The sequence below is a fragment of the Homo sapiens genome, chromosome 6, assembly GCF_000001405.40.
Source record: "Homo sapiens chromosome 6, GRCh38.p14 Primary Assembly".
NCBI classification, from domain to species: Eukaryota; Metazoa; Chordata; class Mammalia; order Primates; family Hominidae; genus Homo; species Homo sapiens.
Window position 1 is genome coordinate 152,697,437 of NC_000006.12, and position 27,550 is coordinate 152,724,986.

Sequence of the window (27,550 nt, forward strand, 5' to 3'; positions counted from 1 at the left end):
GTACCACTGCACTCCAGCCTGGGCGACAGAGCGAGACTAAGTCTCAAAAACAACAACAACAACAACAACAAAGAATTTAGTAAGTATCTGAGTTTTGAATAGTCCTTTCCCCCAATTTACTATATAAATTTAATTTTCAAGCATTGGAACGTGGTCTATTTCTCAATTCTGTATACATTTAATTCAAGGTGCTGTAGCTGAGAGTTTGGAGTCTTCCTTTCCATGTCAGTAGGGGATGAGGAAACACACACACACACACACACAAACACACACACACACACACAACCCTGTTATCCTAAAAGCAGTTTTGGAGGTGGCTGAGAGGAGAGAACTTAGGAACTTAGCTGAGGAAATGATGAAAAGGACATTGTTTTGTGTCTCAGGAACCATGTGGAATTCCAAGATAAGAAAAACAGTTGCTAATTTGAGTATAAAAGCAGGAAACATGATACACTTATTTCCTTTTATGCGAACACAAGTATATGAGGGGTTGTGTAAAAATTATTTTTCTCTTGCTGTACTACAAAGAGATAGAATCAAACTGCTTTTTTTCGACATACTGGTTTTTCTTTCTGTTTTTCTTCTCTTTCTTCTATTTCTTGTGGATATTATGGCTAATAACACAACAAGTTTAGGGAGTCCATGGCCAGAAAACTTTTGGGGTAAGGTATTTTCTTTTACTGTTTAAAATTTAAAATTAGGATGTAAGAAATGCACTGCGTGATTATTAAAACAGTGAAAATCTCTGAGACATTTTGTTTACTATAATGTGATTACTTAAAGTTTTCATGTTTATTAACAGAAATCTATTTCATACGTTTATTAGCAGAAATATATTTATAGATATAAATATATACTTATATATTTATTTGTCTTTATAGTGTTCTATGAAGATATTCAAGAAGAATCTGGGTATTAAGTACAGATTTTGGCTGGTGTTACAAAATATAATTAGGAAATAGTGAGGATAAAAATAAAAAACATAAGGTGGAGGTAATTCCTGCTTAGAATATGGCATGTAGATTTTGTTGGAAAAATTAACTTTCATTTGTTTGAAGGTTATAGATTATATATTTTATTTTATGAAACTGAGATTTTCCATAGAGGCTATTTTCACTTATGTTGTGAATGTTATATGCTTTAATTTCCAAAGTGAATCCTAATAACATCTGTACTTAAATGAGTGAATTTAAAGTGCAATAACACAGGTAAAATAAATGAATGACTTTAGAGTATAACAAATAAAACATGGAATAATATGAAATTTGAGAAAACTATAGTAGAAAAGATTAAGTGGAAATAACATCACGTGTAACATTCAATGGAATCCTATCACAGGGGTTGGGGGGAAAGAACAATACAAAAGTATTTTTTGGAGAATTTTTTGTCTGAGTCCAGCCACAGCTAACAGTCCAGTGTTCCCTGATGTTGACAATGGGACTGTGCTGAGGTCAAAACTCAGTTGCTCCAGGTTAGAGGTACAAAGAAGATGGGCTCACATGGGGAGTTGACATGTACTCTTGGGTTCAGGGAAATTTTTATATTAAAGGAGGCAATTTAAATTAAATTCAGAAAAACACTTTAATGAAGAAAATAGTATATATGGACAGATCTGTTTATATGGCCAGAACAAGTTTTTAATCCTCTCAGTGTACAATTCAGACTTTCTGCTGTGATTCAAGGTGGGGTTTTGGGAACTTTCACATAAACAGTGAGCAGTAGTGGCCGACTTTTCCCAGCAATCTATATGTCTACCATCACAGAAATTTGCATGAAAAGAATTCACTCCAGTCCTTTAACCTATGTACTTTCTTAGATGAAAAATGTGGGGACAAATATTTATTGGTTTTAAAAGATATTAAAATTCAGCATAAGAAAAAAAAGAATTAACTCATTCTTTTTTTCTCACCTACATTTATGTTTGCTGGAAGACTGAAAAGGAAGGATATTGGTGAGCTCCTAATAAATTTATGTAACAGAATTAAGAAGAAGAAAAAAGATTATTCTAGTACATTGTAAAGAAAGGCTTTGGTAATAGGTTATTTTAGGTAGCTAGCACTAGACAGAAGCCTTTGAATTGTAGATGTCTGATTATATGCTTGTTAAAATATTATTTGCTGTCCTCACTTATAGAGAAAATAAGTGCTAAATGCACACTGAAAAAGAGCTAGAGTCTGTCTAAATCAAATTCATCATTATAAAAGTGTTCTGTATAAATTATTCAAAAGTAAAGTAGTTTTTGCAAAAATTAATATGTAGAAGTCAATCTATTTTTTTCAAACCATTCAAAATTAAATTTCAGGTTTACTTAAAAAAACAAATCATTATTCACTGACTAAAAGATTAAAATAAACTTGATATTAATAAGAGAATGTTTAGTTGGAGTTCACCTATTGATTCTAAAAATTTAGATATTTTTAATATGGAAATCTGTGCTTAAGAGGGAATTAAAACCTGTTATTTCAAAGCCAAATACTAGTTTTTCCTTTCTCTTGTTATGTGACTGTAATGAAAATTAGATGAAAATAATGAAAACCAGAAAGGGGAGTGTTACATTGATAAACATTAACAAAGCCAATGGAAACATGGAGAGCAGATATAATGTTTGATGATTTTAGGAAAATATATAAAAGATTGTATTATTGCCTCTGGGGTAAAAATATGAAGTATAAAATGTGAATAAAAATATAAACATATAAAATGTATACATTTCCTGAAATATAAATGTCAATCTTTTAAATTTCCATTGCTTTTGTGTATCTAAATTGATGTCTATTTTGACCACTGACTCCTCAAAAATATTATTTTGAGAATCTTGTACAATGCAGTGTAATGCATTGTTATTGCTTCCAAAATCAGTCATCTGCTTGGCACATTGAATTTGGAAAATAAAGAAAAACAGCTTAGAAAAGGAAAACTTGTACATTGAACCATATAAATTGCTCAGACGTAGCACACTTTAAGGTACAGAAAAAGTTGTTTTCCCAATATAACTTTTCTGGTTTACTTTAATGAGCGCTAAATGATGGCATAATAATATCGGGTTATTACCAAAAACAATAGCTTGCATTTTCATAGCTATCACCCACTAAAACTTCCTAAAGGTGTGCAAGCATTTAAGTGCAAGGGTTGGCAACAAAGTTAGCCTGAAAGTGACAACACAGATGCAGACTATCACCTTCCACTCCCTATTTTTGCTTTCTTTAACGCACTTCCTTTCTCTATAAACATTCCCATGAAAGCTGCAGGAAACATGGCCCGTGAAAATTTGCCATGTCCTCCTCTAAGGCAATAGGAGACAAATACTGAACTCAGTTATTCTCTCAGTACTTGAGAGTCCTGTAGAAGACGTAGTTTTGGTTGTTTCTGCTGTCTTGCTTTGCATTTTTTTCCTTATGGCTAGCTTTGTGAAAAGTTGGGGGAAGATGTGGTTGCAGGAGTTTGCATTTATTCACTTAATTCAATTCTCACCAAAAGTACAATGTCTGTCTCAAAAGGATTATGCTCTTGGAGGCAATTATGCGTCTATACATATGCTACATATGCACATACAAACCTATATAGTTGTGGAATAATACAAGATAACATATGATAAAATAGCAATGGTTGATAATATGAGTTAAAACAATATATGGCAGAAATAATCCCTAAATCTTTCTCAGAAAAAAAATGAGGTGCTATCTGTTCCTAGAAAGATAAATTTCAGACAGGGAGATAATTCTAAGAAGGACATTCTAGTCATTCATTTTTTTCCCTCACCAACTCATTCTCATCCAGTTCATTAGTTCACTCAGAAGCGTTCGCTGACCATATTAGGCAATGTGTTAGGAGTCAGTGACACAAATAAGGCATTTCAAGAGGTTTGGGGAGCTCAGGAAAAATGTCACCAGCAAATATGCAGAAGTAAAAACACCCAGGCATGTTTGTGGAGAAAAGAACGTCTTGGCTAGAGATTCTGTGTGTGGTCGTTTCAGGGACATAGTTTGTAAGGCAGGTTGGAGGCAGATTTCTGCAAGATTTGAATGTCAGCGTGAAAGTTTGATCTAATTAAGCCTGATCACTTGCAATCCAGTGATTTATAATCTCTCCATATTCCTCCCTCTGGGAATTTTCTTTAAGGTTGGAGAGGGTGTGTGGATGGGTGGAGGGGTGGAGGGGTTATATATTCTGTGTATTGGAGAGGGGGGACCTTTGTGCTTGATCAAGTTCTGGCCTCTGCTGACATCTACTGACATGTATTTCTCATCAGCTTTTGAGACATTGCCCTTTCTCTGATTTTCACTGCCGAAATCTCCTACTATAAAATCTGGCTCACATGATCTGTGTAATATTAGCTAACAGCATGGCTTTTCCTTTCTGTAAATCCCTCTGGTCTACTGGCCCTTATTCGGGTACTTCTCCATCTGTCTCAATGGCACAGAATAATTTTCAATATTGTCCCGTAACCCTAGAGCTGCAGGAGCCTTCCTTAGGAGGTTGGGCTACATCAGGTGCCCTTGGCCTGGATGCAGTAACACTATGTCCCCTGCTCCCTACCTCACTTCCTTATCTGCCCTTCAGATACCCAAGGGTTCTCAGAGCGGCTTGCCATCTTTCCCAGGAAGCTGGAAATAAGTACCAGTTCCTCTGGGATTCCCTAATCAATCTGTAGCTCATCACAGGGAGGGCTGGAGAGTGATGCTTCCCTTCTCCAAAACCCTTACAGGTCGTATTCTATATAGCTCTTCTCTTTGTCTCCCCAAAGCTCCTCCTCTTTAGATGCATGGAAATTGACTCATAGGCCATGGTTTATTCTTTCCTATACTGTTTATGATAAAAAGTTATGTTCTTAAGTCCTTTAGGCTGTTAGCTTTTAGAAACTGAACCAAACAAAGAAACTCAAAGCACTCTTTTCTATTTCGAAATATCCAACTATTGCAGTAAAAATGTTGGCTTTCAAACAATTATTTATTCTATATGTTTAAAAAATTATTTAGTAATTTAAATGTGAAGTATTGACTTTTCCTTTTTCTATGCATCCTTGCTAACAGACTTAATTCTCTCTAAGGTAATTGATGAGATGCAGGGTTGTGAACTGATTTGTTGGGGATCAAGTGCTGTCAAGAGGAGGGATCCCTGGCTACTAGCAGCAAATACTGTTCTTTAGCCTGTAGAAAAATATGGCCCTTAGGGACCACCCCAGCAGATGGGCATAGGATGTTCCCCAAGAAGTTAAGAGGGGAACAGGTTTATGGCCTGGGCATATGTCCCAAGAATTTCCACTATATCTTCCCCAAATTTGGAAACAAATACTATGTCTCAAATTCGTTTTTTCAATTTGTATTTTAAAAAGAAATGTCTGTGTTGCATATTAATAGTCTATTCATTAGTTCCCCTATCTCAGTTACCTAGAAAGTTTGAAAAACAAACATTTACAAATGCTTGTCTTCAAAATGCATCAGAATTACTAAGAATTATGAAAACTCATCTCACTGGACTCCATGCTCAGAGATTATGATTCAACAGATGTGAGATGGAACCCATAAGACTGGACTTTTTAATACATCCCTGACCTCAAACTTCTGCATCTAAATTCATGAGAGAAAGTGGCCTATAACTGTCCTTTCTCTGATAGCTTTGTCAGGTATCAATGTTATGCAAGCCTTGTAAAACAAATTGGGACGTTTTCCCTACTTTTCTATTACTGGGAAAGGTTTGTATAAGAGGGCATTGTTTATTGTTTAAGTGCTTGGGAAAATTCCCTATTGTAACTATATGTAGTATTTTCAATTGGAGGGTTTTAAATGGCACATTCCATTTCTTTAACAATGGTGAACTACTCAGATTTTCTATCAATTCTGTTAGTGAAGGGAGTTTGTGTTTTCCAGGAATTTGACCATTTGAATTAAATTTCAAAATATATTGCTTAAATGTTGTTTATGCCATTCTCATTAGTTTTTCAACATTTTATTATGAAAATGTTCAAACATACATAAATATTTGAAGAATTCTACAGTGAACATCCATATACCTTACCATCTGAATTCTATCTGTAACATTTTTATAATACTCATTTTCTTTGTCATTCTATTAGTCAATATATTTCAAAGTAAACTAAAGGCATCAATACAGTTCCCCCTAATTACTTTAGTATGCATATCATTAACAGGAATTCAATTGTTTTGCAACTCTTTTCCCTTTAAAGTCAAGTTTACATACAATGAAACATATAAGGTGCATAAAAATGAAGTGTACAAATCATAACAGAACCTTTGTAGAATTTTGACACACACACTTGAGTAACCCAAAGCCCAATCAAGATACATAATCACTGGCCCAAAAAGTTTCCAAATGCCCCCTCCCAGTCTAAAGGCTTTAAGACTTTAAGATTTTAGCTTTCATATTTAGGATCCATAACTGTCCACTTCCAATTAAATTTTTGCATATAGTGTAGAAATTGAGGGATTGTTTTCATATTGATATCCAGCTTTTTCTGCACAATTTCTTGAAAATATTTTCCCTGTTTTTTATTTTATTTTATTTTATTTTATTTTATTTTATTTTATTTTATTTTATTTTATTTTATTTTATTTTATTTTTGAGACAGGGTCTCACTCTGCCACATGGGTGGAGTGCAGTGGTGCAATCACAGCTCACTGCAGCTTCAACTTCCTGGGCTCAAGTGATCATCCCACCTCAGCCTCCCACATAGCTGGGACTACAGGTGTATGTCACCGCACCAGGCTAATTTTTTTCTTTTTGTATTTGTAGAGACAAGGCTTTGCCATGTTGCCCAGACTAGTCTCAAACTCCTGGGCTCAAGCGATTTGCCCACCTTGGCCTCCCAAAGTGCTGGGATTACAGGCCTGAGCCACTGTGTCCAGCCAAGACTTTCTCTATTCAAGTCCTTTGGCACCTTTGTTGAAAATCAAATGGTCATGTAAGTGTAAGGCTATTGCTGAGATCTCCATTCTGTGTCATTTGTTGATTTTTATAGTAAGTCTTGAAGTTACGTAAATCTTCCAACTTTATTCTCCTTTTTATTTTTTAAACAATTTTTATCACATAATTGTACATACTTATGGGGTACAGAGTGAAACACCAAAACAAGTATACAATGTGTAATGATCAAATCAGGGTAATCAGCACATCCATCACTGCAAACATTTATTATTTCTTTGTGCAAGAACATTCAAAATATCTTCTAGATATTTGAAACTATACAATATATTATTAACTGTTTTTCTCTTTCAGGATTACTTTGGCTTTTCGTGACTTTTTGTATTTTCTCACTCCCAGGCTTTATTGAGGTATAATTGGCAAATAAAAACAATATATTTAAGGTGTCCAACATGATATTTTGATATACATATATATTATAAAATGATTACCACAATCAAGCTAATTAATACAACCATCACCTGAGGTAGTTAGCTTTATTTTTGGTGGTAAGAACATCTAAGACCTACTTTTTTGGCCAATTTCAAGTATAAGAAATAATTTCATAACTACAGTCACTATATTGTATGTTAGGGCTCCAAGCTCCTGCGCAACTGAAACTGCATTTTTCTCTCAGCATCTCCCTTTTTCCCTCACCCCCAAATCACTGGCAATCATCATTCTCTGCTTTTATAACTTCTTCTTTTTTACATTCCACAAATAAGTGCAGTCATGCAGTACAGATGCTCGTCCATTTACGATGGGGTTATATCCAGACAAACTCCTTGTAAGTTGAAAATATCAGGTTGAAACTGTATTTACTAGAGCTAAGCTACTGAACATCATAGCTTAGCATAGCCTAACTTAAATGTGCTCAGAACACTTACATTAGCCTACAGTTGAGCAAAATCATCTAACACCAAGCCTATTTTATTAAAAAATGTTAAATAGCTCATGTAGTTTGTTGAACGCTATACTGAAAGTGAAAAGCGAAATGGTCATATGGGTACTGGAAGTACAGTTTCTACTGAATGCTTATGGCTTTTGCACCATCGTAGCCAAAAAATCCCAAATCTAACCATGGTAAGTTAGATTAGAGGCTGGCTGTATTTGTCCTTCTGTGCCTGGTTTATTTCACTTAGCATAATGTCCTCCAGGTTCATCTAGGTTGCTGAAAATGACAGGATTTTTTTTTTAATGCTGAGTAATAACATTCCCTTATTATATACAGATGGTCCCTGACTTATGATAGTTCAACTTACAATTTTTTTGACTTTAAGATGATATGAAAATGATACACATTCAGTAGAAACTATATTTTGAATTTTGATCTTTAATGTTTATTATTTTAATTTATTATTATTATTATAAAATTTTCCCCTTCTTTGGTGTATTCCAGCCTTGGACTCATAGACTCCAGCTGACTGAGATAAAAAAACTGGTATGGAAATTATTAAAAGAACACTCAAAATTCCAGCAATGACCATTGCTAAGAATGCAAGTGTTGAAAGATCTTTGATTGTTGAGAAAATTATGCAAAGTTCCTCAGAAGTTGGTTACGATGCTATGGTCAGAGATTTTGTGAATATGGTGGAAAAAGCAATTATTGACCCAACAAAGATTGTGAGAGCTGCTTTATCGGATGCTGCTGGTGTGGCCTCTCCATTAACTACAGCAGAAATTGTAGTCACAAAAATTCCTAAAAAAAGAGAAGGACCCTGGAATGGGTGCAATGGGTGGAATGGGAGGTGGTATGAGAGGTGGCATGTTCTAACTCCTAGAATAGTGCTTTACCTTTATTAATGAACTGTGACAGGAAGCCCAAGGCAGAGTTCCTCACCAATAACTTCAGAGAAGTCAGTTGGAGAAAATGAAGGAAAGGCTGGCTGATGTTTAAGAAATCACTGTAACCATCAGTTACTGGTTTCAGTTGACAAACTGTATAATGGTTTACTGCTGTCATTGTTCATGCCTACAGATAATTTATTTTGTATTTTTGAATAAAAAGACATTTGTATATTCCTGATACTGAGTACAAGAGCCACGTACAATGTACTGCTTTCAACTTAAATCGCTGAGGTATTTTTACTACTATTTTCTTAAAATCAGGATTTTGGTGCTTGCCACCACCAGATGAGAAGTTAAGCAGCCTTTCTGTGGAGAGTGAGAATAATCGTGTACAAAGTAGACAAATATCCAATTATGTGACAACTTTTGTGTAATAAAAGTTTGTTTAAAGTTAAAAATACTACCTTTTATTATTATAAAGCTGGATGTTGTTAGATGATTTTGCCTAATTTTAGGCTAATGTAAGTATTGTGTGCATATTTAAGGTAGGCTAAGCTAAGCTATGAAGTTTGGTTAAAAGTTAGGGGTATTAAATGCATTTTTGACTTATGGTATTTTCAATGTACGATGGATTTATCTAAATCCAACCTCATCATAAGTCTAAGAGCATCTGAAATATAACATTTCCATTATAGAAACCATATATGTGTGTGTGTGTGTGTGTGTGTGTGTATGCATATATATGTCACCATATTTATCCATTCATCTGATGATGGACACTTAGGTGGATTATGTATTTTGGCCATTGTGACAATGCTGCAATGAACATGGAAGTGCAGATATCTCTTAGAGATTCTGATCTCATTTCCTTTTAATGTACACCTGGAGGGATTGCTGAATTCTATGGTAGTTCTATTTTTAATTTTTGAGGAACCTTCATACTATTTTCCACAATGGCTGCATCAATTTACATTTTCATCAACACTGTACAGTTTCCTTTTCTCCACATCCTCACCAGCACTCATTATCTTTTGTCTTTTTGATAATAGGCATTTTGGCATGTGTGAGATGATATTCCATTGTGGCTTTGATTTGCGTTTCCCTGATGAGTAGTTATGTTGAGCATTTTTTCATCTACCTATTGGTCATTTGTGGGGCTTCTTTTGAGAGATGTCTATTCAGGTCCTTTGCTCATTTTGTAAACAGATTATTTGTTTTCTTGCTTTTGTGTTGTGTGAGCTTCTTATATACTTTAGATGTTAACTTCTCATCAGATATACGGTTTGCAAATATTTTCTCTCATTCTGTAGGCGTCTCTTCTCTCTGTTGATTATTTCCTTTACTGTGCAGAAGCTTTGTAGTTTGACACAATTCTACTTGTCTATTTTTGCTTTTTTCCTGTGCTGTCATATGCAAAAATATAATTGCCCAGATCAATATCAAGCTTTTTCCCTATGTTGTCCTCTAGTAGTTTTTTGGGTTTCTGGTCTTAGGTTTGTATCTTTAATCCAGTTTGACTTGATTTTTCTATATAGTATGAGATAAGGGTCCAGTTTTATTCTTCTGCATGTGGATATGCAGTTTTCCCATTACCTCTTATTGAAGAGGCAATAATTTCCCCATTGTGCATTTTTGATACTGTTGTCAAATACCAATTGTCACAAATGCATGGATTTATTACTGGGCTTCCTCCCTATTATGTTTCATTAATCTAAATGTCTATGTAAATGCCAGTACCTTGCTGTTTTGACTATTATAGCTTTGTAGTATATTTTAAAATCAAGTGGTGTGATGCTTCCAGCTTTGCTTTTATTGTTCCTTTGTATTGTCATCATATACAACTTAGGGTCATTTGTAAAATAATACAAACAGCCTGTTTATTGGACTTTTAGTTGATTTAGTTATATAAATTTATTTATATAAATAAATTTAAGGGCAGTTGGCATCTTAATAATATTGAGGCTTGTAATTCACAAATATAGTATATCTCTCCACTTTTTAGACCTTTAATTTATTTCAGTAGTATTTCAAAATTTGTGGTGCAGACATCTTGCATACATTTTGTAAAAAAAGATGCCTAGGTATGTTATGCTTAATGATGCTATTGTAATGGTGTAATTATACTTTCCAGTTGTTTGCTGCTAGTATATAAACGTATTTTTATATATAAGTCTTACATTCTGCAGTCTTGCTTAATATAATTTGTAGTTATATTTTAGAATACATAAGATTTTCAATATAAAAAACAAGCTAATAGCTGAGTGCATTGGTGTGTGCCTGTAGTCTCAGTTACTTGGAGACTGAGGTGGGAGGGTCATTTGAGCCCAAAACTTTGAGACCAGCCTGGATGATATAGTAAGTCCCTGTCTCTAAAATCTCTTAAAAACTAAATCAATCAATCAAGCTAATAGATTTATTTATATCCTGTCCCAATTCTTTGTATTATAATTATTACATATTAAATCTATATAAACTATACATTTCATATGAAAATATTTTAATTTTTGCTCTAGCTAGAAAAATATATTTTAAAGAAATTGATGGAAAAGAGTCTTCTATATTTACTCTGATACTATTTCTGATGGTCTCAATTTCTTCTTAAAGATCCCAGTTTTCATTATCCCCAGACTAAGGATTTTCTTCAGCACATGTTTTAGTGTAGGTGTGCTGGTGATTAATTTGAATTCTGTTTCACCTGAAAGAGTATTTATTTTTTTATTTTTTTTTTTATTATACTCTAAGTTTTAGGGTACATGTGCACATTGTGCAGGTTAGTTACATATGTATACATGTGCCATGCTGGTGCGCTGCACCCACTAATGTGTCATCTAGCATTAGGTATATCTCCCAATGCTATCCCTCCCCCCTCCCCCGACCCCACCACAGTCCCCAGAGTGTGATATTCCCCTTCCTGTGTCCATGTGATCTCATTGTTCAATTCCCACCTATGAGTGAGAATATGCGGTGTTTGGTTTTTTGTTCTTGCGATAGTTTACTGAGAATGATGGTTTCCAATTTCATCCATGTCCCTACAAAGGATATGAACTCATCATTTTTTATGGCTGCATAGTATTCCATGGTGTATATGTGCCACATTTTCTTAATCCAGTCTACCATTGTTGGACATTTGGGTTGGTTCCAAGTCTTTGCTATTGTGAATAGTGCCGCAATAAACATACGTGTGCATGTGTCTTTATAGCAGCATGATTTATACTCATTTGGGTATATACCCAGTAACGGGATGGCTGGGTCAAATGGTATTTCTAGTTCTAGATCCCTGAGGAATCGCCACACTGACTTCCACAATGGTTGAACTAGTTTACAGTCCCACCAACAGTGTAAAAGTGTTCCTATTTCTCCGCATCCTCTCCAGCACCTGTTGTTTCCTGACTTTTTAATGATTGCCATTCTAACTGGTGTGAGATGATATCTCATAGTGGTTTTGATTTGCATTTCTCTGATGGCCAGTGATGATGAGCATTTCTTCATGTGTTTTTTGGCTGCATAAATGTCTTCTTTTGAGAAGTGTCTGTTCATGTCCTTCGCCCACTTTTTGATGGGGTTGTTTGTTTTTTTCTTGTAAATTTGTTTGAGTTCATTGTAGATTCTGGATATTAGCACTTTGTCAGATGAGTAGGTTGCGAAAATTTTCTCCCATGTTGTAGGTTGCCTGTTCACTCTGATGGTAGTTTCTTTTGCTGTGCAGAAGCTCTTTAGTTTAATTAGATCCCATTTGTCAATTTTGTCTTTTGTTGCCATTGCTTTTGGTGTTTTGGACATGAAGTCCTTGCCCACGCCTATGTCCTGAATGGTAATGCCTAGGTTTTCTTCTAGGGTTTTTATGGTTTTAGGTTTAACGTTTAAATCTTTAATCCATCTTGAATTGATTTTTGTATAAGGTGTAAGGAAGGGATCCAGTTTCAGCTTTCTACATATGGCTAGCCAGTTTTCCCAGCACCATTTATTAAATAGGGAATCCTTTCCCCATTGCTTGTTTTTCTCAGGTTTGTCAAAGATCAGATAGTTGTAGATATGCGGCATTATTTCTGAGGGCTCTGTTCTGTTCCATTGATCTATATCTCTGTTTTGGTACCAGTACCATGCTGTTTTGGTTACTGTAACCTTGTAGTATAGTTTGAAGTCAGGTAGTGTGATGCCTCCAGCTTTGTTCTTTTGGCTTAGGATTGACTTGGCAATGCGGGCTCTTTTTTGGTTCCATATGAACTTTAAAGTAGTTTTTTCCAATTCTGTGAAGAAAGTCATTGGTAGCTTGATGGGGATGGCATTGAATCTGTAAATTACCTTGGGCAGTATGGCCATTTTCACGATATTGATTCTTCCTACCCATGAGCATGGAATGTTCTTCCATTTGTTTGTCTCCTCTTTTATTTCCTTGAGCAGTGGTTTGTAGTTCTCCTTGAAGAGGTCCTTCACATCCCTTGTAAGTTGGATTCCTAGGTATTTTATTCTCTTTGAAGCAATTGTGAATGGGAGTTCACCCGTGATTTGGCTCTCTGTTTGTCTGTTGTTGGTGTATAAGAATGCTTGTGATTTTTGTACATTGATTTTGTATCCTGAGACTTTGCTGAAGTTGCTTATCAGCTTAAGGAGATTTTGGGCTGAGACGATGGGGTTTTCTAGATAAACAATCATGTCGTCTGCAAACAGGGACAATTTGACTTCCTCTTTTCCTAATTGAATACCCTTTATTTCCTTCTCCTGCCTGATTGCCCTGGCCAGAACTTCCAACACTATGTTGAATAGGAGTGGTGAGAGAGGGCATCCCTGTCTTGTGCCAGTTTTCAAAGGGAATGCTTCCAGTTTTTGCCCATTCAGTATGATATTGGCTGTGGGTTTGTCATAGATAGCTCTTATTATTTTGAAATACGTCCCATCAATACCTAATTTATTGAGAGTTTTTAGCATGAAGGGTTGTTGAATTTTGTCAAAGGCTTTTTCTGCATCTATTGAGATAATCATGTGGTTTTTGTCTTTGGCTCTGTTTATATGCTGGATTACATTTATTGATTTGCGTATATTGAACCAGCCTTGCATCCCAGGGATGAAGCCCACTTGATCATGGTGGATAAGCTTTTTGATGTGCTGCTGGATTCGGTTTGCCAGTATTTTATTGAGGATTTTTGCATCAATGTTCATCAAGGATATTGGTCTAAAATTCTCTTTTTTGGTTGTGTCTCTGCCTGGCTTTGGTATCAGAATGATGCTGGCCTCATAAAATGAGTTAGGGAGGATTCCCTCTTTTTCTATTGATTGGAATAGTTTCAGAAGGAATGGTACCAGTTCCTCCTTGTACCTCTGGTAGAATTCGGCTGTGAATCCATCTGGTCCTGGACTCTTTTTGGTTGGTAAACTATTGATTATTGCCACAATTTCAGAGCCTGTTATTGGTCTATTCAGAGATTCAACTTCTTCCTGGTTTAGTCTTGGGAGAGTGTATGTGTCGAGGAATGTATCCATTTCTTCTAGATTTTCTAGTTTATTTGCGTAGAGGTGTTTGTAGTATTCTCTGATGGTAGTTTGTATTTCTGTGGGATCGGTGGTGATATCCCCTTTATCATTTTTTATTGTGTCTATTTGATTCTTCTCTCTTTTTTTCTTTATTAGTCTTGCTAGCGGTCTATCAATTTTGTTGATCCTTTCAAAAAACCAGCTCCTGGATTCATTGATTTTTTGAAGGGTTTTTTGTGTCTCTATTTCCTTCAGTTCTGCTCTGATTTTAGTTATTTCTTGCCTTCTGCTAGCTTTTGAATGTGTTTGCTCTTGCTTTTCTAGTTCTTTTAATTGTGATGTTAGGGTGTCAATTTTGGATCTTTCCTGCTTTCTCTTGTAGGCATTTAGTGCTATAAATTTCCCTCTACACACTGCTTTGAATGCGTCCCAGAGATTCTGGTATGTGGTGTCTTTGTTCTCGTTGGTTTCAAAGAACATCTTTATTTCTGCCTTCATTTCGTTATGTACCCAGTAGTCATTCAGGAGCAGGTTGTTCAGTTTCCATGTAGTTGAGCGGCTTTGAGTGAGATTCTTAATCCTGAGTTCTAGTTTGATTGCACTGTGGTCTGAGAGATAGTTTGTTATAATTTCTGTTCTTTTACATTTGCTGAGGAGAGCTTTACTTCCAACTATGTGGTCAATTTTGGAATAGGTGTGGTGTGGTGCTGAAAAAAATGTATATTCTGTTGATTTGGGGTGGAGAGTTCTGTAGATGTCTATTAGGTCTGCTTGGTGCAGAGCTGAGTTCAATTCCTGGGTATCCTTGTTCAATTCCTGGGAACTCCCTGACCCCTTGCGCTTCCCAGGTGAGGCAATGCCTCGCCCTGCTTCGGCTCGCGCACGGTGCGCACACACACTGGCCTGCGCCCACTGTCTGGCACTCCCTAGTGAGATGAACCCGGTACCTCAGATGGAAATGCAGAAATCACCCGTCTTCTGCGTCGCTCACCCTGGGAGCTGTAGACCGGAGCTGTTCCTATTCGGCCATCTTGGCTCCTCCCCCTGAAAGAGTATTTATTTCACTACTATACTTAAGGGATACTTTTGCTGGATATAAAATTCTGAGTTGACAGCTTTTTTAAAATCACTTTAAAATATCACCGTGTCTTATTAAAAGTGAGTATTTAAATAATTGTCTTTTATGAATGTAATGTTATTATTATTTGTAATTTGGCTGTGTTCAAGTTTTTTTTGTTAACCTTTGATCTTCAGCTGTTTGACTATGACGTGCATAGTTCTTTATATATATTCTGCTTGATGTTACTGAGACTCTTGATTTGTAGATTAATTTGTTTCACTAATTTTGAAAAATTTCAGCCTCATTTATTCAAAATGTTTTTAGCTCCATCCACCCTTTCCTCTGTTTGGGGGATTATAATTGCACATTTGTTAAATATTTTTATATAGTTCCACAAGGCCTAGAGGCTTGCTTTTTCCCCCCAATATTTTTCTCCATTTTTCAAATTGGATAAGTTCTATTAATACACCTTTAAGTTGGCCGATTCTTTTCTCTCTCATTTTAATTTCACTGTTAAGCTCATGGTATAAATTTTTTAGTTCTCATTTTTTTAGTTTTAGAATATCCATTTTGTTATTTCTTATAGTTTCTATTTCTTTGCTGAAATTTCCTATCATTTTATTCATTGTGAGTGTTTTACTTGAAATCATTGAATATGGACATATGAGTTGCTTTAAAATTTTTGTCTGCTAATTATGTCTGGATCATCTTAAAGTTTGTTTTTGTTGACTGTCTTTTCTCTTAAGAATGGATCACATTTTCCTGTTTCTTCATGTGCCCAGTAATTTCATATTGTATCTTGAACATTTTGAATGGATTCTGCTATATTACCCTGAAGAGTGTTATGATGTATGTTTTCCCCCTAGTTTATTTTCACAGGCAAATAACTCTGTGGAACTACAACTACAGAAACCTATAAAGCCTGTCCCTTGGGCAGCAGCTTAAATCTCACTTTAGTTTATTTTTTTTTCTCTAGTGCTGTTTGGAATACATCCCACGTATGTGTGATTCAGGAGTCAACCAAAGATATGTGAAATGTTTATAAATAAAATTTGGGGATTCTCCTCTCTGGCTTTCTCTTCTCCAGGATTTCCCTCTCACATTCTCAGCAGCTCTTGTTTCCACAATCTCTGTCCTTTGTTTCTCAAGATCAGAAACAGTGCAGGTTTTCGACTGTAGCTTTACCTGTCCCAGACTGGAAGCTTCCCTCAGGTTAAAAGGTTTGAAAACTGGAGCTTGACTAGTACTTGCTGTTCTTTTCTTCCAGGTCTCAACTCCTCTCCAGTAGCTACAAGCATTTGGTCATTCTTAAGGCCTTTAGGTAGAATTTTTTTTTATATTGTTTTCAGTGTTCATAGTCATTATTACTTGAAAGGGTCAGTTCATAAAAGCTGATTTGGAATCCTAGCTTGATGTTTTTATTGCCTGTATCTGTTCTAATGTCACATTTCTTACTCTTGATATTGGTGATTTTCTCTTTCTCTCTGTCTCTTTCTCTTGCTCCTGCCCACTCTTTTTCCCTCTTTCTCTTTCTCTCCTCTTTCCATCCTTGTCGTTCCAATTAGTATTTTATTCATTTTTATTAGATTTTTTTCATATCTGGCTTTGATAATTTCCTCTATTTTTTCTTTTTCTTTTTTTTTTTTTTTTGCCCCTGTTTCATTAAGTTCTGCTTTCTCTTATTTACTGTATGCTACTTTACTTATGTTTCAGCTAGTGATCTTTTCCTAGCTTCTTAATATGGAAACTGAAATAATTGTTTTTGTAGGCTTTCTTATTTTAAAATGTATACCTATAAAGCTATAAATGTTCTTATGAATGTGGCTTTAGGCACATCTCACATGTTTCGATATTTCACAATTTTATCAGAATTCAGTTAAAATATTTTATAATTTTCATTAGGTATTTTATTTAATTTTCTTTATAGATCCTCAATCTCTGCTGAAAATTTTTAACTTGTTAATTTTTTAAACACATTAATCAAGTTATTTTAATATTTTTGTCTGATAATTCAAATATTTTCATAACTTACAGATATTTTTCCATTTTCTATTTGTTCTTTTAGTTTTTGTTTACTTTGTCTTGCCTCTTAGGATGACTTGTAATTTATTATTTATAACACATATATATATAACATTATTAGGTATATATAAATTTATTTAAGTATATAACTTTCTATTTCATATATATGTATAAAACTTTCCTTCTGGCAGTTAGGGGAAGATCACCTCAGTCCAACTTGGGATTGATCTATATTTTTATCTTTGTGAGGTCTGGTCTTTCTCCTGTTTACCATTAAGCTTAGGGAGTAGATCCTAGGGGGCCTAATTCCAGATTCTGGGATGTTTCCTAGGGTCCAACTTCCTTGGCAGCCCCTGAACACCAACTTATGTTTTCTAAGCTTACTTATAGTGCACAGCATTCTACTCAGATATTTTTGTTTCTTTTTACAGATTATTGTGATGAAAGATTTTCTTTTCTCCTGGAATTTGCTCCTTTGATTTAATAGTTTTGATAAGTCTCTGATGGCTTCAAACAAATTTAAGAAAATATTTTATTCTCCATTGTACGCTTGCTCTCATTGGTTTGATACATGTTAGTCTATCATATACAGAAAGGGGTGTGCTACCTTGATACTTTTGAATTTGCCCTCACCTCTAGCAATACTGTTAACTAATTATATTCAGAATATGGCTTGTGCTTTATAATTTTGATCAAAACTACTTTCAAATCTCCAAGCCTTTTGTTTATTTGACCACTACCATTCACAAAAAGGCATCTACAATTTATTTTTTCCATGAAGCTTTTTTAAACCTTCCAGATATATGTTATCCTCCTATCTTTCAAACATAATGACATTTTCAGCTCATAATGGTTATGCGTCTCATTCACATTTTCTTAGAGTATAAATTAATGAATGTAGTTTCCATTAACCAGGAAGGAAAAAAGAAAAACAAGAATTCCATTTAGGCTTCAGAGGTGGGACAGGGTGTCATTTTAGGTGGAGCAGCCAGGGTAGACCTCAATGAGAAACTTACATATAAGCAAAAGACCTGAAATTAACCATACAGATAGCTGAGGAAATAATTTTAGGAATAGATTACAACCAGGGATGGGCCCTAAGTCAGGAGCCAGCCCATCTGATGTACTTAAGGAATGGTGAGGGGGGAAGTGCAGACAGAGCTCAGTGACCCAAAGGAAGAGTAGAGGAGATGGGCTCAGATAATTGGGAGCCTATCAAGTAGGGACTTTTAGGATATTCTTAGGCATTTGTTTTTACTCTGGGAGAAGTGGAGGATTTAGAACAGAAGATTGATATGATTTGACTTACATTTTATAATGTTCTCTCTGACTACTGCATTGAGCACATTGTTGGGGTGTGAGGGATATGGCAAGGACAGAAGCAGGAAGACCATATTCCAGGTCACAGATGTGGGAATGTGGCCACTTGGATCAGTGAAGTCGCAGAGTGGGTAGTGAGAAGTTGAATTCTGGATTTCTTTTTGTTTGTGAAAACAGACCCAATAAGATGTTCTGGCACATGAGATATAATGGAAAATACTCCTCGGCTGTTTAAATTATTATAATCAATCAAATTTCTATGCCCTAAATATTATTCTCCCTAAAAGCCCTTTTCGTCAAAAGTAGTTCTATTGCCTGAACCATTCTCCTATACACTCTATGATACCAAGGACTTCATGGCCTGCTTTGGTGAACATTGAACTTATGATTCTTAACAACTGCAAAGGGTTTTTGAATGTTTTAAACAATGTTACATTCTGCCATCACTGATAAATCACTTTCAGAGTTGGAATGCTTCAACTCAAGGCCACTAGATGGTGACCTCTACTAAATTTTAATACCAGTGGATGGAATTTGAGGTATTGATTATATTTACTAAAAATCATATTCAATATTACAATATTAAAATTGGAAGACACGAACGTGGCTGTTATTATCAGGCCAAGAAGGGTCAAATGACTTGAGGAAATTACACAACTATTAGCAGTAAGAGCCAGTGTTCGTTGAGGGCTTGTTATGTGCCATCTACTTGCTAGTTTTGTAGGTACGTATTACAAATTAGGATGACATATATTTAATTTATATGGCATAGCTGACCAATGTTAGAGTTTTTTCCTTCTGCTTTCAAAAGGAAAGTTAACATTTTTAAAAGTAATCATTTGGTCTCATAAGTTGCATTATATTGCAATTATTAAGAAGAAAGATTATGGCTCATTTTTCTTCTCCTTAGATTGTTGAGAAGTAAGAAGGCATATCATTTTTTAAAAAGTAATATCTTTGCCAATGTCTTTTTTTTCAGTTACATTTTCTTCTACACTAGGTTTTAAAAAAGGCTCCCAAAATACATTGTCAAAAGTCTGCCAGAATGGAATTACATATATGAAAATTTAAAGCTGTATGACCAGTAGATGCTGCTTTCATCACACAGTTTCTAAATTCTAGTTTGGGCAGGTCAGAAAAATCATCAACTATAATTAAATGAAAAAAAAATGTGTATGAAAACCACCCCTGTTATTTGACTCAGCATCTCTTTCTTATTGCCTTTCTGCATTTCTACATTTGCCTTTGCTGTTTGGACTTAAGGGAGCTTAAGAAGATAGATAAGTATTTTACCATATACCTCAGGAAGTCTTAGAAATTCTTCTGTCAGCAGTATTATTTGTAGGTGTTTTAATATTCTGCAAGGTATAAGAATTAGTGCAATGATTTCTGATATGGTTTGGCTGTGTCCCCACCCAAATCTCATTTTGAATTCCCACATGTTGTGGGAGGGACCCGGTGGAAGGTAATTGAATCATGGGGGCAGGAATTTCCTGTGCTGTTCTTGTGATACTGAGTAAGTCTCACGAGATCTGATGGTTATTATGAGGGGGAGTTTTCCTGCACAAGCTCTCTTCGTCTGCTGCCATCCATGCAAGATGTGGCTTGCTCCTGCTTGTCTTCCACCAGGATTGTGAGGCCTCCCCAGCCATGTGGAAATGTAAGTCCAATTAAACCTCTTTCTTTTGTAAATTGCCCAGTCTCAGGTATGTCTTTATCAGCAGCATGAAAACAGACTAATGCAATTTCTAAAGTGTGTATTTTACTGACTTTATGGATTAAGAAGTCGTTTTCATGATGCGTGTACTCTACTGAGCAAAAATTAAACAAATCCATATCAAAAGCAATTTTTTTGTAATTTGTATAATTTCCGTTGCACCCCCATCTTATCCTACTTTATATTCATTCAAAATTTAAATAGCCTATTATTGTGTGTATATATTATTATTATGATTCTCACGTACATTTTAAATTCATTATTTAATCCTTTTTGGATATCTATATAACCCAATATTTGATGACATTTTAAGTCATTTCCCCAAATTTTGGGCATAGACAATAGGTTTACCATATCAAATCAAAGTATTACCAAGCCACAGAGAATGATCATTTTAAATAGGTTTGTTGTCAAATTCCTCTCATGGAAATATTGTTATAGTTTTAGTGCCACAAAAATAATCTTTTTAGTTCCCAAACTGAAACTTGTCATTTAAGAAAATTGTGATGGTCCAATATATTCTATAATAACTTGCCCATTAGAGTTTGGATATTATCCTAGTTTTCTTACATCAGAACAATAATGTATTTTGGAAATAAAACAGTCATCTGAAATATAAATATATTTCTCACTCCATGTATTTTTGTTGTTTTTGCTAATATACTCAATTGCTGTATTTTATTTAATTAATTTATTTTTACTTTTTGTAGAGACAGGTCCCATTATGTTGCCCAGGCTGGTCTGGGCTCAAGCGACCCTCTCACCTCGGCCTCGCAAAGTGCTGGGATTATAGGCATGAGCCACTGCACCTGGCCTCAATCACAATAATAGACAAGAAATTATTTTTCATTGATTGTGTATTTAAATAGTTTCTATTTTTTTCTCGAATCTAAAGTTTGCTATTATTCCACTATAAATAACATTTATATTGGGAATATCTGATTTGTCAGAAGATGAGAGGCTCAAAGGGCGTACACAGAGACCATGTACAAGGACTCTTGTAATCTTTAAATACTTTCATTGAGTAACTGAATATATTTTCTCCTTTCAGATTCTGGTTTTAACTCCATTTTGCTGAAATCAAGGAAACATCTCTTTTTACATTTTATCTATTATGCCTGCTTATATACTGAGATATTTAGAGTCTTCAGTCAGACTCTAGTAGTGGTTAGGTACATTTACACATAGGAAGGACATATACTTTGTAAATTTGAGTATTTGTCTTCTCATTTGTATCATACACTAGTGTAACTAATAGTTCCCTAACCACCGATACTTGCCAATCAATTATTACAATAAATCAAGTGTTAATTCTACCACATGAACCTTAGCTTCTGTTTCAATATCTATAAAATGAGGAATTTATGTCCAACACATTTTCAAAAGCTTGTTTTAGCTGAAACTCCATTTCTATGAGTCCATAGCTGAGCTTGTTGATATTTAAAAGTCTCCACTAAAGGCTATTGATTCATGGAAATATATCTGTAGAACACACAATATTATTTAACCACCATTCTCTCAAGTATTTCTGTTCATAACAGGCTGCAAGATACTCTGGTATTGAATCGACCAATTTTTATGCAATTTATATTGCTCATTTTCATTTTAGATTAATATTTTCTTACCTTACACTTAGAAAATAAATAAGCAATTAACTATGAATTAAGATGCTTTGGTCTCAGATCCTTACTTGACCTTCACCAGGTGTGGGACTATGGGCTTGTTACTTACCTCTCAGTAGCCACAACTATTAAATGGGAATAACGCTAGCATTTCCTTTATTGGGATGTTTGAGGATTAAGTGATATAATACACTAAAAAATGTGCCTGGGAACTTTGCATAAAGCCATTGCTTTAGAGAATGTTGATATAATTATTTGTACAGATAATTGTGAAAGTAGGACACAATAAATGTAGCTTTTCCACAGGAGATAAATGTGACAATATATGGTGGAAGGACACTGAACTATATCCTAAAATTAGACAGCAGTGATTATTCCTTTGTAGTTATTAACATTAGTTTGTTTTGTTATTTCTGCATTCTAGGTAGTCTACATATTATAGATTACAATATGCTAAAAAGAACCTTGGCAATCATAAAATCTAACTCCTTTATATATATGTATAATGAAATCAGTGGGTCTAAACAAATTCCCTAAAAATCACAAAACATATTAGGAACAGAGCTGAGTTTGGAACCCTTTATCAGAGAGCTTTTGCCATGTAACAATCCACCCCCAAACATAGTAGCTTAAACTAATAATAATTTGCTTAGCTCACAATCCTGTGGATTGGTAATTTGAGATGAAATCAGCTTGGTGGATTTTCTGCTGGTCTTTGCTCATGTGTCACAGTCATTTGGTGAGTTGACTAGCATCTGAATTATCTAGGATGACACCATTCATATGTCCAGGTTAGCAGGCTCTTGGCTAGGGCAGTAGGGGTTCCTGGGCCATGTGTCTCTCATCATCTGGCAGGCTAGTCTGGCCTTATTTATATGCTGACAATGGCAGGGGTCCCAAGAGAAGGAAGGGTGGATGCTGAGCCTCTTGTAGCTTAGGCTTGAACTTGTATAGCTTCAATTCCATTGCATCCTACCGTCAAAGCAAGTCATGAAGCCTGCCCAGATTCAAGGGGTGGGGAAATAGACTCTATCTCTTGATGGGAGGAACAGCAAAACGTTTGTGGCTATTTTCTCCTCCTCTTCCCCAGTCTCACAACACCCATCAGCTAATTTTCAGGCTATGGCTCTCTCAATACAGACTACCTACATAAGCAATTAGATATGATAGCTTACCTTTCTACTTAGCAGTAACTTATTTTTGTCTAGGAAATGTAGGAGTCTTTACTGAAGATGTGATACTTGAAGGTAGAGCTTGAAGAATGAGTTTTCCAGACAGAAGCTTAAAAAATTGAATTCAGATAAAAGGACAAATATGTGGAAAAGCTCAGAGTTTTAGAGAGAATGACAGGCTTTGGTACAGTGAGAAACGAGCATGACTTGTGGGTTAGATCATGGAGGGGAAACGTTGGGGACAAGGGGTTTGATCATGGAGGGGAAATGTGGGGGACCAACAGGCTGGAGGAGTCTTCTAATACCCAGAATTTTTCTTTGCAAAGTGGTGTGGTGAGGGGAGACTCAGTTACCTAGTTTCATTCAAGAATATGTATTTAGTTTACAAGAGGCAGTAAGGTAGCATTTCCATTAGGAAAAGGCATTTTTCTCCCCAGAAAGGGAAATCTGAACAAATTACAAGTTCTACAAATTACAGAATACTGGTACGTAGCCGAGGCTCTATGGAGGTTCAGGTGACAGGAATTTCATCATCACAAGGGCGTAACAGAAGCATGAGCTGGAACCTGGGAAACAAGAAAGAGCCCAGTAGTCTGCACAGGTCAAGTCATCAAAGAGTCAGAGATATAGGTGACTGTCTGGGAGTTCAGGAAATATGACATAAATCAGTCAGCTGGCCAGATGGTTCTATCCCAGCACTTCCTGTCTCAGAAAGAGCAAAGGAAGTGAGGCATCATGAAGACTGCAGGTGGCAGAAATCAATGTGATTGATGAAAGCAGACAGAGGAAAAGGCAACATCAAAGTGATGACAAAATTCTTTATCAATCTGGCACATTAGTTACTACTATAACTCAAAAGGAAATCAACTTTGGGCTACATTTGCAGCTCTGTAAAAAATGGATGAACTAAATGCCATAAATTAATGACATCAAGTAAGACTACTTTTATCTTTTATTTCTTAAAGATGATAAAACAGGTTAAGTGACCTGGAATGCCGCAGCTGAAAGTGTTATTTTGTATCTTTCTGCTTGAATAAATGGAAGCATTATCAGCTTCCATTTGTTCATATCCACCTAACACTGTCTTCTATTTCCCTAATTCAAAGTATGTTTAAATTAATCATGTATTCTTTGAATTACAGTATATATGCTGACCCTTGTTTTTAGTTGAAAACCTATTTAAAAATTGATTTAGCAATTTGTTTTCTTTGTTTCAGAGGACCTTATCATGTCCTTCACTGTATCCATGGCAATCGGGCTGGTACTTGGAGGATTTATTTGGGCTGTGTTCATTTGTCTGTCTCGAAGAAGAAGAGCCAGTGCTCCCATCTCACAGTGGAGTTCAAGCAGGAGATCTAGGTCTTCTTACACCCACGGCCTCAACAGAACTGGATTTTACCGCCACAGTGGCTGTGAACGTCGAAGCAACCTCAGCCTGGCCAGTCTCACCTTCCAGCGACAAGCTTCCCTGGAACAAGCAAATTCCTTTCCAAGAAAATCAAGTTTCAGAGCTTCTACTTTCCATCCCTTTCTGCAATGTCCACCACTTCCTGTGGAAACTGAGAGTCAGCTGGTGACTCTCCCTTCTTCCAATATCTCTCCCACCATCAGCACTTCCCACAGTCTGAGCCGTCCTGACTACTGGTCCAGTAACAGTCTTCGAGTGGGCCTTTCAACACCGCCCCCACCTGCCTATGAGTCCATCATCAAGGCATTCCCAGATTCCTGAGTAGGGTGGCTTTTGGTTTTTGTTTCTTTCTTGTCTTGTCTTTTATTGAAAGGAAATCAAAAATAGGCTAAACAGAATTTTGAGGGCATGGCCCAAATAACTCATGAGTTCCAAGTTGAAACATGGTTGTGCAAGTTGGACATTACAATGTAAAACACATTTTCTTCAAACACGTTTTCCCTTTTGTTTCAAAAAATGTAATATTTTCCCCCAAGCGTTTTATATTTATGTATTTTGTATTCAATGTGAGGCTTATTAAAAATAGTGATTCTAATGTAAGAATCAGCTAAGATGCATTATATATATTTTAATTAAAATTAAAACTTCAGATATTTGTGGATTACAATCCTCATTTACTTCCAATGTGACTAAAAAGAGAAAAAAAATCACTGTGTCACTTTAAAGAAAAATCTTCTAAGGGATTTGGATTTTACTTTCTTTAGAATGACAAGTGAATCATATTGACATTTTACAATCTTAGATTTTTCTTTTTTTTTCTTTTGAGACAGGGTCTTGATCCGTCGCCCAGGCGGGAGTTGCAGTAGCATGATCAGGACTCACTGCAGCCTCTATCTCCCAGGCTCAAGTAATCCTCCCATCTTAGTGCCCCAAGTAGCTGGGACTACAGGGGTGCACTACCACACCGGGTTGAATTTTTTTTTAATTTTAGTAGAGATGAAGTGTCACTATGTTACCAAGGCTGGTCTCAAACTCCTAAACTCAGATGATCCTCCTGCCTCGGCCTCCCAAAGTGCTGGAATTAGCCTGGCCAATCTTGGATTTTTAATGGAATATGTGGGCACAAAATGACAGAACATAGGACATTCTAAAGTTCCTTGATTTGATCATTATAAGAAGTGTGGGACTCAAGCACAGGAAACTGAACTCTTTTGGTGTCATTGGATGTTTCATTTTTGACACTAATTTTTTCTGGACAAACTCTTTATGTGTTTTTCCCAAGAATAGTTATCTACTTCCTGGAGGCAAAATCCTTGGATTTACTAACATGATGATTTACCTTTTCTTCACCGTTGTCGTTACATTGTTAGAAAAGCAACAGGAAAAAATCCAATTCATTTGACCTAAAAACAAGCCTCAAGTTTAAAACCAAGCTCACGTTTTTCTTAAGGGAAAAATTTTCTTTCTTAAACTTACATCTAGCAACTTGGAAAGCACTTTCTCTGGGGATCTTCTTTTGTAACTTTGCAGACAAATAAGTATGAGTCACTGGGGAGAGAGTTTGTTATTGAAATAGATGTTGCCCATGAAGAATTCTCCTTCCTGGATTGACTCTTAATCATCAGGCATCATTCCTGGTTTGCTTCTCTACGAATCTCAATTCCAACTTCTCTGCAGAGTCTGTACAGTGATTAAGCCATGCCAGATGGTCTTTGGTGCACACAGTTATTTAAGAATCCACTTCCACAGGTGGCTGCCCTTGTAAGGAAGAATGCATCCCTAAATGTGGCCACCAGAGAGTTCCAGTGGGCAGATGTCTGTGGCTGCCCTTCTCATTTAAGGACATGAGTTCACTGGAGTATTACTCAAAAAGTCTGTGGTTCATTTCCAGTATTGTGAATATTTAGTTTATGTGGCCGTTTCTTTGTTTCTTTGAACAGTGGGATTTTCAGTGAAAAAGTACCCTCTTTTTCATTTCCTATTGCAGTGGTCACAGCTAATAGTGTCTGAACATGGTTCAAGAATAAGAGATTCCATGTAGCATTTTCTTTATTATTTTCATTTCCCTTATATTATCCATCATTCCTTAAGGACAATTATTCTTAATAATGCTTATAGAAAATGTTCTCTAATTAAACATGCCAAAAGGAAAAAGTAAGAGAAAGAGGGAGCAAGAAGAAAATGGAAGAAAAAGGGAAAAAAGCTAACCGGATAACCAATTTGTTATAAGTTGGTTTTCAACAAAGAAATTTAGCAGCCAAGTAAGGTTTCAAGGGAATATTAACTTGGTATCAGGGCTACTTTTTTTTTTTTTTTTTTACTTGCATGTCATCCTTAATGTCTAACATGAAAAATCAGCAAAGAGTATGGTTTTTATCAAGAATTTGTGTTGGGAGTAAAAACTGCTTTATAGCTCCCAAATTAGGAAGAGAAGAGCAGAAATCCTCTGGGGCATTTAACCATCTGGCAGAATTGTTGCTGCACCCTTATCCCAGTTATAAGACAGTCAAAATGACTATTTCCTAAATATTGTGAGTGTATGAAATGTGAAATTAAAGCAAAAACTGGAGACTTTTAATGTATTTCTTTAATTTGAAATGTTTTGTGGATTGTGAAATAAAAATAAATTTATGTCAAGTTTTATTCAAAATTCATTTATGAAATAATGCCAACACTGTTCTAAAAAGCAAGGAGTCAAGAAATTATAAAATTCAGATTAAATCAGGAAAACACATTAGATGGAAAATTATACTATAGAATTTGAGCTTATTAAAATTTATTGCATAAGAAAAGTCTCCTTTTTACTTTGGTATTTAAACCTAACCTAGACTATTTGTAAATGAATAGACTGAGACACAAATCCTTTTTCATATAAAAATGTATAATGGAGAAAGGGAACATCACAAATAAATTTTACAAGATTTTTAAAATTAATGCAGATGGAAGAATTAGTAAATTATTTATTTAAAACATGAACTTAGAGTCTTATCTCATTAGCTAAATACATAATTACAGAATTATTTAATTATTTTATTTAGGGAATAAGCATTTTAA

General features: G+C 35.4%; 1 protein-coding gene and 1 pseudogene across 7 annotated transcripts in view, besides 1 other annotated feature; both read left to right on the forward strand.

Moving 5' to 3' along the window:
* The first annotated feature begins 460 nt into the window (after positions 1-460).
* The window catches only part of MYCT1 (MYC target 1), a 49,285-nt gene continuing 22,195 nt past the window's right edge, over positions 461-27,550 (forward strand). For 3 of the 7 annotated variants that reach the window (XR_007059337.1, XR_007059339.1, XR_007059338.1), the window contains exons 1-2: positions 461-662; positions 24,306-24,817. Coding sequence is in view for 4 of the 7 variants with exons in the window: in NM_025107.3 (NP_079383.2) it covers positions 467-662; positions 24,306-24,817 (708 nt within the window). In the remaining 3 variants the exon portion in view is untranslated. Of the gene's footprint in view, positions 663-24,305; positions 27,134-27,550 lie in introns of those variants that run through there. The other 4 variants (NM_001371625.1, NM_001371626.1, NM_025107.3 and 1 more) reach the window with 4 other exon arrangements.
* Positions 8,292-8,879, forward strand: HSPD1P16 (heat shock protein family D (Hsp60) member 1 pseudogene 16; annotated as a pseudogene).
* Positions 23,753-24,952: an enhancer, noted in NCBI's record as "P300/CBP strongly-dependent group 1 enhancer chr6:153042324-153043523 (GRCh37/hg19 assembly coordinates)". NCBI's record gives its function as "activates an origin of replication core promoter dependent on BRD2, BRD4, P300/CBP, MED14 and CDK7 cofactors, with strong dependence on P300/CBP, by STARR-seq in HCT116 cells {active_cell/tissue: HCT116}" and the evidence as "EXISTENCE:reporter gene assay evidence [ECO:0000049][PMID:35650434]".